General features: G+C 46.4%; 1 protein-coding gene across 22 annotated transcripts in view, besides 1 other annotated feature; it reads left to right on the plus strand.

Annotated features, from left to right (window-relative positions):
- ARHGEF10 (Rho guanine nucleotide exchange factor 10) overlaps positions 1 to 16,521 on the plus strand; it is a 135,313-nt gene that overhangs the window by 93,698 nt on the left and 25,094 nt on the right. For all 22 annotated transcript variants that reach the window (XM_047422452.1, XM_047422450.1, XM_047422454.1 and 19 more), the window contains 7 exons: positions 5,938 to 6,053; positions 6,442 to 6,569; positions 6,748 to 6,848; positions 8,257 to 8,378; positions 9,351 to 9,437; positions 11,401 to 11,624; positions 12,260 to 12,417. In XM_047422452.1, coding sequence (XP_047278408.1) covers positions 5,938 to 6,053; positions 6,442 to 6,569; positions 6,748 to 6,848; positions 8,257 to 8,378; positions 9,351 to 9,437; positions 11,401 to 11,624; positions 12,260 to 12,417 — 936 coding nt within the window. The remainder of the gene's footprint in view (positions 1 to 5,937; positions 6,054 to 6,441; positions 6,570 to 6,747; positions 6,849 to 8,256; positions 8,379 to 9,350; positions 9,438 to 11,400; positions 11,625 to 12,259; positions 12,418 to 16,521) is intronic.
- Positions 5,178 to 6,377: an enhancer, noted in NCBI's record as "CDK7 strongly-dependent group 2 enhancer chr8:1870370-1871569 (GRCh37/hg19 assembly coordinates)". NCBI's record gives its function as "activates an origin of replication core promoter dependent on BRD2, BRD4, P300/CBP, MED14 and CDK7 cofactors, with strong dependence on CDK7, by STARR-seq in HCT116 cells {active_cell/tissue: HCT116}" and the evidence as "EXISTENCE:reporter gene assay evidence [ECO:0000049][PMID:35650434]".

The following is a 16,521-nucleotide window of genomic DNA, read 5'->3' on the forward strand; positions in this document are numbered from 1 at the left end:
AGGACGTTCCTCATGATTGAAACTGAGTTTATTGCATACTGCAAGCTTCTTCAGTTACTAGACCACTACGAACAGTGACGTGGAGACATCCTTACACATTAGTCTGATAATTTCCTTAGAAGTGGAATTTTCAGGTCAAAGAGTAGAACATTTGTATCCTCTTTTAGACTCCTGATGCATGTTTGCAAGTTGCTTTCCAGGAAGTTTTCCCCAGTTTCCATTTCTACTGGCTATGTCTGACTTTGATGACACAATGAAACTTTTATGATTTGATTTGTGAAAAACAGTTTTGTACATTTGCCTTAATTTAAGTTAAAAATTTTTAACGCCTTCTGGCTCTGACGTCTCGGTCTCACATCGTGGAGGAGAGGCTTTAAGATGCTGTGAGGGTGCCCCTTGAACCCAGGCATGGAGGTTCTCAGGGACCGAGCACACCCCCAGGGGCTTTTCCAGCCGTCCTTGCTATTGATCTGGCCACACAAACCCTTCCTTGTTTGCCGCACAAATTCTGTTTCACTGACAGACCCTGAATTTTCAAACAGATTGCAGGGATTTCCATGGAAACAAGAGAAGCGTCCGTGAGAAAGACTCGGGAAGTGCTTTTGCGGAAGTGCAGCAATTGTGTGTCACTGCAGCGACAAAGAACTTCGCTCACAGAACTGAAAACTCTAGAAACTGTCAGCTAGAGGGCTGGAAGTCAACTCTAACAAAAATTCTGATTTGCAGGTGTTTCTTTCTTTTTCTTTTCTTTTCTTTTCTTTTTTTTGAGATGGAGTCTCCCTCTGTTGCCCAGGCTGGAGTGCAATGGCGTGATCTTGGCTCACTGCAACCTCCACCTCCTGGGTTCAGGTGATTCTCCTGCCTCAGCCTCTCTGAGTAGCTGGAACTACTCAGAGTGTGTACCACCATGCCTGGCTAATTTTTTTTTTTTTTGTATTTTTAGTAGGGATGAGGTTTCACCATGTTGGCCAGGCTGGTCTCGAACTCCTGACCTCAGGTGATCCACCTACCTTGGCCTCCCAAAGTGCTGGGATTATAGGCGTGAGCCACCGCGCCTGAACTGCAGGGGTTTCTTTAATCAATTTTGGCCTGAAAATCAACATGAAACAGTTTTTCTGAAACTGAGAATCACATTTGAAAAGCACTGGCCGCACTGTGTGGTTTCTTGTTATTCTTGGGATGTGAGTGCAGACGCTTTCTTTGGCAGCGCACATTGTCCCCATTCATGAGGAAGCCTCAGGTTGCTCTGTGGTGTCATCTGTGCCCTGAGGTGCCCTATTATGAACTGTCTGATGATCCGGCAGACATAAAACGTCAGCACATTTCCATGGTCCGTAAGGTCGAGGAACTCCTCCTCATCTCAGTTCAGAAGGTTCTTTAATACACTAGGGAAAGAGTATTCTCCCTTCCCATGATAGGTTCACATTTGATGGCTGTGTGTGTGTGTGTGTGTGTGTGTGTGTGTGTGTGTGTGTGTGTTATTTTAAAAATGTTTATGTTTTTAGTTGACAAATAATCATATACATGTATGGTTTAAAACATGATGTTTTGAAATATGTATACATTGTGGAATGGCTAAATCAAGCTAAGTAGCTTATGCCTTCCTTCACACACTTACCATTTGTTCATGGTGAGAACCTTAAAGTCTACTCTTAGTGATTTTCAAGTATACAATACCTTATTAACTACATTAGACGTCTTGAACCTATTCCTCCCAATGAACTGAAATCTGTGCACCTGTGAATCCCTGTGACCTATCCCACATGTTCTATGGGTGATAGAGCTGCCTCTGTGGGTGATGGAGCTGTTCTGTGGGTGATAGAGCTGTTATGTGGATGATGGAGCTGCTTTGTGGGTGATGGAGCTATTCTGTAAAGTGACGGAGGTGTTCTGTGAGTGATGGAGTTGTTCTGTCAGTGATGGAGCTGTTCTGTGGGTGACGGAGCTGTTCTGTGGGTGATGGAGCTGTTCTGTGGGTGATGGAGGTGTTCTGTGGATATGGAGCTGTTCTGTGGGTGATGGAGCTGTTCTGTAGAGTGATAGAGCTGTTCCAGGGGTGATGGAGCTCTTCCGTGGGTGATGGAGCTGTTCTATGGGTGATGGAGCTGTTCCATGGGTGATGGAGCTGTTCCGTGGGTGATGGAGCTGTTCTCTGGGTGATGGAGCTGTTCCGTGGGTGATGGAGCTGCTCCGTGGGTGATGGAGCTGTTCTGTCGAGTGATGGAGCTGTTCTGTGGGTGATGAGCTGTTCTGTGGGTGATGAGTTGTTTTATGGGTAATGGAGCTGTTCTGTCAGTGATGGAGCTGTTCTGTGGGTAATAAACTGTTCTGTCAAGTGATGAAGCTGTTCTCTGGGTGATGGAGCTGTTCCATGGATGATGGAGCTGTTCCTTGGGTGATGGAGCTGTTCCATGGGTGATGGAGCTGTTCCATGGGTGATGGAGCTGTTCTGTCCAGTGATGGAGCTGTTCCGTGGGTGATGGAGCTATTCTGTGGGTGATAAACTGTTCTGTCGAGTGATGGAGCTGTTCTATGGGTGATGAGCTGTTCTGTGGATGATGGAGCTGTTCTGTGGGTGATAAACTGTTCTGTCAAGTGACAGAGCTGTTCTGTGGGTGATGAGCTGTTCTGTCAGTGATGGAGCTGTTCTATGGGTGATGAGCTGTTTTGTGGGTGATGGAGCTGTTCTGTCAGTGATGGAGCTGTTCTGTGGGTGATAAACTGTTCTGTCAGTGATGGAGCTGTTCTATGGGTGATGGAGCTGTTCTGTGGGTGATGGAGCTGTTCTGTGGGTGATGAGCTGTTCTGTCAGTGATGGAGCTGTGCTGTGGATGATGGAGCTGCTCTGTGGGTGATGAGCTGTTCTGTCAGTGATGGAGCTGTTCTGTGGATGATGGAGCTGTTCTATGGGTGATGGAGCTGTTCTATGGGTGATGGAGCTGTTCTGTGGGTGATGAGCTGTTCTGTCAGTGATGGAGCTGTTCTGTGGATGATGGAGCTGTTCTATGGGTGATGGAGCTGTTCCGTGGGTGATGGAGCTGTTCTGTGGGTGATGGAGCTGTTCTGTGGGTGATGGAGCTGTTCTGTGGGTGATGGAGCTGTTCTGTGTGCCCTGGAGTTCTCCCTCAGGCTTACTGCGGAGATGTTCACGTGCATTTATACATGTGTGAAAATATATAGAGCCGCACACCAAAAATAGAAGGGTCAATTTGATTGGATGATAATTGTGAAGATCATATTTTAAAAGAAGTCAACTAATTAATAAAGTTAACATTGCACTTATAATTTTATTTACTCATTTATTTATTAATTTTGATACAAGGCCTTGTTTGGATGCCCAGGCTGGAGTGCAGTGGCACAATTATAGCTCACTGCAGCCTTGACTTCCTTGGCTCGAGCGATCTTCCTACTTCAGCCTCCCAAGTATTTGGGACTACAGGCGCGCATCACAATGCCTGGCTAATTTTTTTTTTAAACTCTATGTTTTTGGTTTTTAAAACTATGTTGCCCAGGCTGGTCTTGAATTCTTGGCCTTTAGCAGTCCTCTCACCTTGTGCTCCCAAAGTGCTGACATTATAGGCATCAGTTACCACAACCAGCCTATACTTGTGTTACAAGGTTGTGTTTATAGAGTTTATCATCAAAGTTTGCGAATGAAAGCAAATATGTGTGTTATGAAACATTTTAAATTATAAGCATTCTGTAAGGATAAATAAAGTTGCGATGTGTAACTACTGGATCAGTTTGCTCTTTCGTTTTTTTTTGTTTGTTTGTTTTGATGGAGTTTAGCTCTTGTTGCCCAGGCTGGAGTGCAATGGCATGATCTTGGCTCACCATGACCTCCTCCGCCTTCCAGCTTCAAGCAATTCTCCTGCCTCAGCCTCCCGAGTAGGTGGGATTACAGCATGCACCATCATGCCCAGCTAATTTTGTATTTTTAGTAGAGACGGGGTTTCTCCATGTTGATCAGGCTGGCCTCGAACTCTCGACCTCAGGTGATCCTCCTGCCTTGGTCTCCCAAAGCACTGGGATTACAGGAGTGAGCCACTATGCCTGGCCGCTCCCTTTGTTACGAAACTTCATGATACTTCAAATGCAGTTAGTAATTGCATTTGTCTAGATAGTTGATACAAATCAGGCTTACCATGTTCATAAATACCATGTAATCATGTCTTCAACATAAAGTGCCTGCAAAATTATAAATGGTTATGCTACTCCTCAGTTATATAGTAAATATTTTTAGATACCTATATCTGAAATCTTTTTATTGGAAATATGTAGGTTCTTTCAGTTTTGACATATATATGTATTATATCTGTTATATACACTAAAAGAACAAGCTGCATAATTTGTGGGACGTAGCATAGAAGGAAAATGCAGAGTCCTTTCCTCAAAATTATTAAGAATTTCAGGATGTCCAGGCCAGGCACGGTGGCTCACGCCTCTAATCCCAGCACTTGGGAGGCCGAGGCGGGTGGATCACCTGAGGTCAGGAGTTCGAGACCAGCCTTGCCAACATGGTGAACCCTCTACTAAACCTCTACTAAAAATACACAAATTAGCTGGGCATGGTGGCAGGTGACTGTAGTCCCAGCTTATTCGGGAGGCTGAGGCAGGAGAATCGTTTGAACCCGGGAGGCAGAGGTTGCAGTGAGCTGAGATCGTGCCATCGCACTGCAGCCTGGGGGACAAGAGCGACACTTCGTCTCAAAAAAAAAGAAAAAAGAAAAAACAGAATTTCAGGAGGTCCACATCCGAGCCTGAGACCAAGTTCTGGGCCCTGTAAGCTCAGGTCTGTGCGATTCTACAGACCCATGGCCGGGAAGCCTGTCCTGCTGAAACACAAGGCACTTTACTCAACTTAAATGAATTTCTTCTCCTTGGGTTTGAATTTTGGCTCCTTCTCTTACTGGTTTTTTGACCTTAGACAATTTATTTCTATGAGAAGTGGAAAAGAAGGAGCGTATTACTGCATATTGCTTAAAGTACAGACACTCAGGCTAATTCTGAGATCAAATCCTTCTCATCTGTCATCAGTCAGATGGGGAGATGGGGGAATCTGTCCTCTGAGCCTGTGGGCCCGTCGTGGGATTTAGTGAGGAAGTATTTGAACATTACTTCCTGTAGTACACAGGAAGCCCTCTGTGAGGGGTAGAGCAATTCTCACTTGGGCAAATAGACCCCGGGACACGCGTCGTTCCTCTAACCCAAGTCATCGAAGACAAACCATTTCTATTCCCTTAAAAAAAAAAAAAAACTTTAGGAAAGATCATTGGGGAACTCATTTTCATGGTAGATGACCCCAGTTATTGGAAATGTGGTTCAGATTAAATGTCATTTCTAAGTGCCTCTTACTAATAGCTGTTATGTCAACGGTGTCTAAAAAATACAAAAGGGACAAAACATGAATCAAACTCAAATTGTGAGACATTCTTTAACTCACCAGCATCCTCCAAAAATGTCAGGGTCGCGAAAGAGGAAGATTGAGAAACTCCCCCAGACTGGAGGAGATTTCAGGGACGTGACCACCGAACGCAGTGCGAGTCCCTGGGCTGAATCCGGGACTAGGAAATGACATTCATGTGAAAGCGGTGAGGTTTGAAGACGGTCTGTAGGTCAGTCAGGAGTGCCGTGTCATTGTGGTGTCCCGGATTTGACGGTCATGATACGCTTGCGTCAGATGTTATCCTCTGAGGAAGCCAGGCCTGGGCATTCAGGAGGCAGCTCTTTGCAACTTTTCCATCTAAAATTATTTCCAAATAAGTGTTAGAAAAGGAAAAACCACTAAATGCTTGAAAATGTCCACTTTTTAAAAGTTCTAGATTCACCCCTCAACTTAAAAATTATTTAGTATTTGAGTCTTTTCTTCCCTCAAGTATTGGAGTAAATATGGCTTTACCTTTGTATTCTTTTTTTTTCTTTTTGCTTATTTTGTAGACAAAGTTTACATGGGGCCAGGACAACTGTATCAAGATTTACAAAACTTGTTGCATGACTTAAATGTAATTGGCCAAATCACTCAGCTGATAGGAAACCTTAAAGGAAACTATCAGGTAACAATTGAAGCAATTGGATTTAAGATTCTGCCTTTACTTATAAGTCATTGTAAGTATGTGATTATATCTCCAAGTTCTACCAGAAGTGAGAATTCATTTTGACTTTAAAAATTAATCTGAATGTACATTTTCTCTTACGTTAGATAAGGTGAGACTATTTAATGGTAACTTTTCTTCATTTTGCAAATAGGGTTTAATATCAGTTCTATCTTAGAAATGTCTCAGCCCCCCACAGTGTGATCTGACTCCCAAAGCTTTCTTTTTCATAATCTAATAGTTTCATTTGGTCTGAATTTCTCATATTAAAATTGTGTCTTTTTATCTTCCTTGGGATGGCCCTAGTTTTTAAACACTTTTGAAATGTGCGTATTTATTTCCTTTGTAGAACTTAAACCAGTCAGTAGCCCATGACTGGACATCAGGTTTACAAAGGCTTATTTTGAAGAAAGAAGATGAAATCAGAGCTGCGGACTGCTGCAGAATTCAGTTACAGCTTCCCGGGAAGCAGGACAAGTTAGTAGTAGCTTTAAAACGAAACCTTCTTGGCCAATGCTGGGGAGAAAATGGTTCTTTGTCATGACATGTATGTTTTTTGGTTTGCTGATTCTATCAGACAGGCAAAATGTGTAATTTAACCTCACAGGATGGAGCACGTTTTATAAAATGAATGCTTGTCTGTTGTTTCTGGCAGATCTGGGCGACCGACGTTCTTTACAGCTGTGTTCAATACGTTCACCCCTGCCATCAAGGAGTCCTGGGTCAACAGCTTACAGATGGCCAAGCTCGCCCTAGGTAAGGCCTGGCTGGCTGAGGCTGAATGAGGCATGCGGCGTGATGATGAATTCCTGCCCACGAGGGTGAGGTCAGGGTTGAGAAGGAAACTCAGCAGTAGATCCATGCATTGACCTGAAAGAGTGTTTCTAAACAGGAAAATTCACCCTGGCACCGGCGATTTTTTAGATGTTCATATTAAAATAGAGGGATCGCATATTAAAATGGAGGGGTTAAAACGGATGGTGTTTCTGGTACCAGAACATGAATATCAGTTGAGGCAGCTGAACACAGAGGAAGCCCGTGGAGCCTGGCCGTGAGCCAGGTGCTCAAGGCGGGCGGCGGGCGGCGGCCTTCAAATGGCAGGGGGGTCATTGTTCCTCTTGGCCCTTCTGCTCACCCCTCACTGAGAAGCAAAACACAGGGCTGGGCTGGGGGGTTACTAAAGATCCTCCCAGCACCAAAGATCAACCCTGTGGTTTTACTGTAGATGGATGTGACTTTATGATTTCCTTGTTCCTATGTCTCTTCAGCCTTGATTATTTTTTGCTCTGTGTGTGTGTGTAATGTACTTATACACATGCTTACAGACCTGTTACCCAGAACACACTGGGATGTCATGTGTGTGTAAAATTTTCCTTCTGCTGTAGATAATCTGAAATGTTAACGGAGTATAAAATACAGAAGAGAAATGCAGAGCGTGGGTAACGCCATTGCCCCGGGGAGCTCTGATTAGTGGAAGGGCTTTGTCCCGGACGGGAAAGCCGTCCTGACTTTGTGCTCACTTGATGAGGAAGCAGAAACACAGCCCCTCTCTCTCTTGCTGAATAATTTGGTCATTTTTCAGGTCAGGTTCAGAGTGACTTAGCAAACAAGGAAGTGGCCACTCTCTAAAGAGAATGAGCTGAACGTGCAGATAAGCCCCCTTTCGTCTTCAGATCAGCTATATATTCTTTAATGCTCAGGTTGACAGTTTGCTTTGGGAGTAAAATATTTCTCCATTTTGTTGTACTTTTGTTTATCCCATAGCATTATACCATGTTTTAAAGTTTCTCAGTACATCTCTGGTATTTGAATCTAAACATTTCTTTTGCTTTGGAAAAACTGGAGAAAGATAAAGGGAAGTGGACCTATGTGGTTTATACAGCGACGTTTGGCAGCCTTTGGGTCCAGCGTATTCAGGAGGCGCAAACAGGGAGAGGTCCCTGCCACTTAGATGGGGCCAGGCTGCCTTCTAAAATAATGCCACGAATATACAGCCTATGCTGTAAGAAGAGATTGTACTGCTTTCCACAAGTAAAACATGGCGTTGTCTGGCCCTGTACAAACAGAATGCCAGAAACTTCCCCTGCTATGACCTGTGGAGCTGCAGGTCTTTGCATGTGAGTTAACTGCATTCTTGCTCATTTCTCTCTGAATATAATTGCAGAAGAGGAGAACCACATGGGCTGGTTCTGTGTGGAAGACGATGGGAATCACATTAAAAAGGAGAAGCATCCTCTCCTCGTCGGACACATGCCCGTGATGGTGGCCAAGCAGCAGGAGTTCAAGGTGAAGGGAGGCAGGGCCCGCGGCCCGGGGTGGGACGCACCTCGCAGCTCTGAATGGGCCACTTGGGAGATGATTCTTAAGGGGCGTGGTCAGAACATGGTCCTCCCAGGTTCACCACAGTGACCGCTTCTCTAGAGGTCATTTATCTGGAAATAAGACTGCTGTTGATTGAAACCTAAAAAAACGCCCAGCCATTGTCTCTGAAGCCCAGTCCTGGGCCAGGACCCTGGGGTATTCCAGCAGTGCCACAGCACCTGAGGCCTTGTTAGTTAAAGAGGGGACACGTGTTTCACATTTGTAGCTCTGTTTTGCCTTTGCTTGGCAAGCAGTCTGTTTCCACAGTGGATCGTAACTCCAGGTCTCCTGTCTGCTTGAGGTACCGTGCCCGCTCTTTGCCTTGGCAGACTCCATCTCCAGGGTGGCGTCTTATTAATGTTCCCAGTGTTGCTGACTCAGGCATCACAGGCCAGGGCCTTCAGTGACACTGACAATGTCTTATTCTTTAAGAAATAAAGATGTTTCTTCTCACCCTGGTCTCTGGCCAGGGTTTCCCAGCAGCTCCCCTGACCCCTCCTGTTGAGAGTTGCAGGCGGTGCACAGGACTCCTCTGGGAGAGGCTGGGGTGGGACAGGGAAGGGGAGAGGCACAGGCCATCACAGGCTGTACTTGATGCCTGCAGGGCCAGCCCTCCCATCTGAAGCGCCCTGAGCTGCCGGATTTCAGTGTGCTGATGGGATCTAAAGATTAAGATACCAAAGGTTGAATCTCCTTAGGTGTTCACTTCTAAAAAGCTAACTTCTGAGAGTTGTACTTTTAAACTTTCATCCTCCCTATTTTAATCTTTGGTAGGTAATGAACCTGTAATTTCTGTGTTTATACATTGGAAGTAAGTCATCCATTTAAGACGTTATGTAGTCTAGGAGCCTCTTAGCTCTGTTTTATATGTGAGCGTTTGATTTTATTCCATTTTAGATTGAATGTGCTGCTTATAACCCTGAACCTTACCTAAATAATGAAAGCCAGCCAGATTCATTTTCCACGGCACATGGTTTCCTGTGGGTAAGATGTGTTTATTTGGTTTTGGTACAAGTTCACAGAGAATCAACGTTCATGGTCGGTGTGATGAGAGACTGAGATGTGAATTGCTCAGTAGAGAGTTGGCGGTGGCGTATCCCAGAGTGTACTTAGAAACATGAAAACTTCTTTGAAAGGGAGCTGATCACTTTTGGAAAAGATTTACAGTTCTTAGGAATGCAAATATTTGTTTCTTTTCCTTTTCATCTAAAACATTTACCAGATAAAGTTGAGTCCAGAGACAACTAACTAATAAGAGAATAATTTTAATATGTTTTTCCATTTTGGTGTCAACATTGCATGGATTTTTTTTCTTGTTCCAAGACTGGCTTTTTCCAGTGGAAACTTAGCAGTTAAAATTAATTTGTTCCAAATGAAATATTGCATCTGAAATTAGGCTGGAATTGCAGTAGACGTTCCTGGTTCTTGCAAACCAGAGGACATTCTTGAAGCTGTGTGGTCCCAGGCTCTCCCCTCTCTGGTTTCCTGTGTTCCCTCCCTGCAGCCTCAGACTCGCCCTCCAGGGCTCCACTGTGCTTTTCCAAACTCTCATCCTTTCCTCCCAGGCGTCCTGTGCAGCACGCCACTGCCTCTCACTTCTCACATCCACAGCTCCTGCTTGGTCAGTGTTCCTAGTTGAGTGTCAGAAATTGAACAACCCAATTAGCTGGTATTTCATTTGTACCAACCTATGAATGGAGGAGTAGCCTTAATTCCCTTGGGGGCTTCCACTTCTAAGAGAACTGTTTTCCGTCCAGGTAGGCAGACCTGTCATGGCTGAAGCTTCATCACCTGGCCTGGTCATAGCCCCCAGGCCCTGTAGGCAGGACAGGGGCTTGGCAGATTGGCATCCTTCCCACAAAAGCATGAAAGTAGGATGTCTGTATGTAGCGACAACAAATACAAGAATAAGGAGAGTTTAACAACATTCTCAAAGTTGGTGGAAAAGAAAAAGAATCAATGAAAACATCACCCTAAACCAGCTAGTGCTTTCTGTTTACAGGGATCAGACCCCTTCCCACTTAAAAAAAAAAAGACAAATAAATTTAAGTTTAAATTGGGAAACTAACTGTGCTATGTGTTCTCGTTGTAGAGATTCAAACACACAGGAAGTTCATGTACACTGTTGCAGCAATGCTACTTTAGAAATTCCACGGCAGGCGTGGTGGCTCATGCCTGTAATCCCAGCACTTTGGGAGGCCGAGGCGGGTGGATCACAAGGTCAGGAGTTTGAGACCAGCCTGGCCAAACATAGTGAAACCCCGTCTGTACTTTCACATAGTGAAACCCCATCTCTACTAAGAATGCAAAAATTAGCCGGATGTGGTGGCACGAGCCTATAGTCCCAGTTTCTCAGGAGGCTGAGGTGGCAGAATCGCTTGAACCCAGGAGGCAGAGGTTGCAGTGAGCCAAGATCATGCCATTGCACTCCAGCCTGGGTGACAGAGTGAGACTGTCTCCAAAAAAAAGAAAAAAAAAGAAATTCCACAGCATACCACATGTTGACTTCCAATGAGCTACTTGGGATGCATTCTTACTGATGTTTTTCCTATTTGAAAGGTTTATTTTCTTAGCCTAGGTCATTGAATATTAGTGTTAAGTTATTAAAATTGATAATAATCTGCTTCTTAGGATTTTAAATTGAGGATAGATGGGCCCTTACCTTCATATTGTGATGAGTACGTGATTTTTAAAGTATAGAAATGTGACTTTGTAGAAATGAAAGTTACGCTTTTGCTTTAAAATTTTTTGAAAACTGAATTAAATGTGTTGAAAAGAAAAAGGGGCTCTGTGAGCAATTGTTTAAGAATTTTTTTTTATTTTTTTAAGTGTGTTGATTCTCACATGAAAATCGAAGCTTGTCGTGGCCTTTAAGGGTCAGGTTCCAGCGTATTATGGAAGCCGCCACATGGTCGTTTTCTTCTTTCCTCCTAATTCTCTGATTCAGATCGGAAGTTGCACCCATCAAATGGGTCAGATTGCCATCGTCTCGTTTCAAAATTCCACTCCCAAAGTCATTGAGTGCTTCAACGTGGAATCTCGCATCCTGTGCATGCTGTACGTTCCCGTCGAGGAGAAGCGCAGAGAGCCTGGGGCACCCCCGGACCCCGAGACCCCGGCCGTGAGAGCTTCTGATGTCCCCACGATCTGTGTAGGGACGGAGGAGGGAAGGTAGGGCATGCTCACTGCGTTACAGAGAATTAGCAAGCTCTGCCCATGGAGGGCGTGGTGGGGAGCCTGTCCTGGAAAGAGTCCTTGACTTTGACTCAGGAGTAGCCCGTGCAGGAATTAGGGGATACCAGGGGAAATTTTTAGGGTCATTGCACTTTGAAATAACTAGTGAATTGGGCCCATGGAAATTATTCTAGGAAACTCTTAAAGAGAAGTGGTATTTCTTTAAAGGGGACAGTTTGGCTGTTTGCCACTGAAATGTCTCATTTATATTAATGGTTTTGAAAAGGACATTCCCCCCTTATATTTTGGAATAAAACAGCCATATTCTATGTCATGATCATACTGAATTGCTGACACCATTTAAAGGAGAGTTAAAATGATTTTCCTGATGTGAAGTTCCAAGATACACAGTAGGAAGAACTAAGTTTTTTCATATATCCCAGAATTTCCCTTTTAAAAATAAAGAAATCAAGGTGGTTGCAAATTTTTTAAAAGTACTGGCAAGTGTCCCTAGGAATGGAGAAGGAAGGGCAAGAGGGAAGAGTTGAAATGTTTGTGTTTATGTTAACAGGCACCCTCGTTCTTGTTACAACGAGCAAATATATTTATTAGCTTGTATTTTTCTCTTAAAGCATTTCCATTTATAAAAGCAGTCAAGGCTCCAAGAAAGTGAGACTTCAGCACTTTTTCACTCCTGAGAAGTCCACAGTCATGAGCCTGGCTTGCACGTCTCAGAGCCTGTACGCTGGCCTGGTCAACGGGGCAGTCGCCAGCTACGCCAGAGCCCCAGGTGAGGCGGGTCTCACGGCCTCCTGGCCGGTCCTTGGGGTTCACTCAGGGGACTGTGCATCCGGTTTAGCCTCCCCACCTCCCCACCGGCCTCCTGCCTCCCGCCCCTGTGCCTCCGCCCCTGCGCTCGTCACCCTTGCCCAAGGCCCGGGTGCCTTGCTTCTTCCCCAAAAGGTGTTTGTTGAATATACAGACATCTTTCAGAAGTCAGTCTGCCCGTCTCCTCCCACCCTCCCACTTCTCTCGGCCTGCCTGTTTCTCCCCCTCGGATGGGGGCACCGGGCCATGCAGAGCCTCCTTCAGCATGTCCTGCGCTGACCAGCTGAGCAGCCTGCCCGCCCGGCGGGGCCTCCTGTACCTGGGCCAGCCCTCTTTGCCCCGGTGCTGTGCCCTCGGTCCCGTGCCCTCGGTCCCTGCTGTTCTCTTGGCCACAGGGCTAAGGACTCCATTGTGTTCTGCTGGGTGCCTTAGACGAGGCCCTCCCTGGCCCATCCCGCCTGGTCCCCGCAGCCGCTGGGGGTGGGCAGCTGCTGTGTGTCTGTTCTCTCTCCAGCCCCTGCCGCGTTGGTGGCAGCTGTGCTTTGCAGGCTCTTCCTGTGGATCTGGCCGCCGCTGCTTGTGGGAGCTCTGGGTACGGGGCTTTCCTTCCAGCTTCCTTGGTGCTGGCTGAGGCTGCTCTCCTGGCCCCTCACTCAGCTCTGAGCGCAGGGGTGCCGAGCCCCAGCTGGATCCCAGCCAGTCTCGGTGCTGCCATCCTGGAGTGGAACACGCAGGGCTTCCCTCACCGAAAGTTGCCCTGCACCACCCTCCCCACGGCCGGGAGCGACGCCTTGGCGGGTCCTGTTATCTTTCCCAGGCCATCCACCACTTGTTCTTGTACCCCGAGACCATGTCCCAGCTCACTCCCCCATCATCACCACCCTGGTCCACACCGCCCAGCTCCCGCCTGGATGGCAGCGTAGCCTCGCCTTCATTCTTCCGCTTCTACTGATTCATTCTCCAAATATTTGTTATTGAGCTTTTTAAACTGTAAATAAGGTTTTTACCCTCCCCGCCCCCCCGCTGAAAATTGTGTGGTGAGTCCCCAGTGTACTTAGAATAGAATTCCAGTCCTCCAGTCCTTGTTCCTTGCTCACAAGGCATTCTGCCCTCCAACCACCCCCGTTCTCTCTGCTCTGAGTGCTGCTATTGGAGTTCCTCCCTCCTTAGAAATCTGCGCCAGCCCCTCCCAGAGCCTGGGGTGTTATTTGCCCCCGGACTTTGACACCTCCTCCTTGGGGAGGCTCTCTCGACCTGCTCCACGGGGACGGCCCCTCCTTCTCCCGTGTGGTTCCGGCCTGGCCTGTGCGCACCTGCGCCAAGAAGGCCTGGACTTCTTTCTCACTCCGGTAGGTGGAGTAAGCACAGGAGCCGCTCCTGTCTCGTCCCTCAGCCATCTGGAGTGTGACCCTGCTGATCCCTGGCCGATCCCTGGCTCCTTGGCGGGCCTCTGGTTGCCTCCCTCTCATCCGGTGGGTGCCCCGGCCTGGATTCCGGTCTGCACCCCCTCTTCACTTGGCCTCATGATTTCAGTTCTCCATGGACGGTTTTGTGTCTTCGGGGTTGGGCTCTCCCATTCCAGTCCTGCTTTGTCATTCACCTGTTGTCATAACCTCTGCCAGCCTCCTTGGCCGGCTTTCCCGTCCTGTCTCTGCTCCACGGTAGGCGGAGGCCCCTCCGCATGTGCGCCGAGAGCCGCCTCCCTGCTGCCTGTGTTCCTACCACTCTGCACTCAACTCTTTCATGAAGCTTCGTGGAGGAATGTGTGTTGATAGGACTTTTTCATATAATCTGGATTTTTTTCTGTTTTTCTAATTTCTATTAAATGCAATAGAAATAACATTTCTATTACGTAAAATGTATTTTATGCTTATGTCCCCCTTTTTTCCCCTGGGTTTACTAGCGAGCATCTCTCCAGCCTCTTACTTGGCTGCATTGCTGTCCTGTCCACTGTGGAGCCCCGTGCAGGGCTGTGTTTTCGCCTTGTCAGACGCGTTGCATGATCTGTAACTGAGATCTGCTGAACGTGTCTCTTCGCATCTTTCTCACCAAGAGCTGTCCGGCGTACCGTGTGGGAGCGTGCGAGGCAGCCTGCGCAGAAGCGCATAGCCTGCCACTTCGTTCTTGGTGGTGAGGGACGTGGCTGGCTGGAGGCCTCGGCCCGGGCAGAGGGAGGGGGAGGCTGCTTCCTAGCCCCTCACTGTTGCCAGAGCTCTGAGCTTTCAAGGGACTTAAAAATGTGAAATTCTGTGGGCAATTTCCAGATTTTTAAGTGTTAGTTCAAAACGTCATTAGCGTGTGCCTGGTTCCGGCTGCGATTTGGGATCCTGCTGAGGGCTCTGGCCTGGGACACATACACAGGGAGAAGTCATCCCAAGAAAGACAAGCCCACACTGCAGAATGACCCACCCAGGTGCTCAGAGAACAAAGTTCAGTTGTTGGAAGTTAAACCTTAACCGAGGGAAACGTCTGAAGTAGGCCATCGTGTCATTGATCTTTGAGTTCTCGTTTCAAAGGAATGGTGCTATTGGTAGGACACTGCCAAGCCACACCTGACAGCCAGGATCCAAGCACAGTGGGCGGTGCATAGAGAGAGCTCTGACCTAGGATTCACAACCCTGCGTTCTTGTGCCACTCCATGCCCTTCAGAGTGTGTGAATGTCAGAGAAAATTGTAGCTCTGCCCTGAGCCCACATATTTCTGGAGGTTGCCGTGTGCCGTGCTTTAAAGGGCTATGAGTACCAGATGGGAAGGCCCATGCACATGTGTGTATGCACAGGAGTGTGAGGGGTGTGCATTGTGTGAGCAGGTGTGTATGCATGTATGCACATGTGTGTATGCACACGTGATTGTGAGGGCGTATGTGTGTGCAGGCGTGTGTGTGCCTTGAGTGCACATGTGCAGACGTGTGTGTCCCTGTGTGCATGTGACGGCAGGTGCACGTACTTGTGGGTGTGTGTGCACATGTGCATGCCTGCATGTGTGTATGTGTGTGACATGTGCACGTGTGTGTGTGCATATGGCATGTGCACGTGTGTGTGTGCGTGCATGTGTGTTGTGCATGGGTGCATGTGCATATTTAATCACATAATGATAGACTGGGCCCTGTGCAGATATTACAAAGGAAAAGCAAGCCCATGTTCACTGGGGCTAATAATTACCCTACAACACTTTTAGCCTAATTGCAACATAAAAGCATTTCCATTAACGTTGAATTATAACTAAAAGTATGCCACAGAAGTCAGAGCTTGCATAGTTGCCTTTTAGTGACTGCACACCTCCACTTCAGACACTTGTTTTGTATTCAAAGGTTCAGTGCTTGAAATCCAGAACAAAGAGATAAGAACTGAGGCCGTGTTCTCCTGAGTGAAGTGTGTTTATTTGATTAGGAAGTCGACGGCATTGATGGATTAATAATTTAGTTACACTTTTAAGGTCGATGCCTTAATTAATGGTTAGACTGAGAATTGAAGAATTCATTTTAATTATTTATAGGATAATTACATTAGTCACTTTAGAAGTTTATGGTAAATCTTGCCTCAAATAATTTTTATTGGTATTCAAGGTAGCAACTCATACTTGATATAAAGTGTGAAAGACCTTGTCAGTAGATCTTTGGATATATTTTCAAACCAGAATATTTCACGACTGTCTAGGCTTCAAGAAAGGGAACAAATTCATCAAAAGTAAGGAATTCCTTTTACCTCAATTTTGATTTCTTAAAGTATTCTGTGAAGATATGGCCTCTCTTCGTGATGCAGTATAGAGCAAGGCACATGTTAGAACGGAAGCAGCTAATGGGGAAATGTAACATCTGCCCAGTTATTTTGGATGCAGTTCCTTTTAATGATGACTGAATCATCTTCTCTGCTATTATTGTAAATGGTCGTATTGACTGAATACCTGTGTGCTGGGTACTGTGCTGAGCTTTGTACATGCATTATTTCATTTTTAACTTTTGATACAACCTTTGCGGCTAGTGGTAGGATGGTCTCGATCTTACCCTGAAGGAAGCTGAGATTCAGGGTGAATGAGTGGTTTGTCTGGGACACACATGGAGGGGATA

The sequence above is a fragment of the Homo sapiens genome, chromosome 8 (assembly GCF_000001405.40).
Source record: "Homo sapiens chromosome 8, GRCh38.p14 Primary Assembly".
In the NCBI taxonomy this organism is placed as follows: Eukaryota; Metazoa; Chordata; class Mammalia; order Primates; family Hominidae; genus Homo; species Homo sapiens.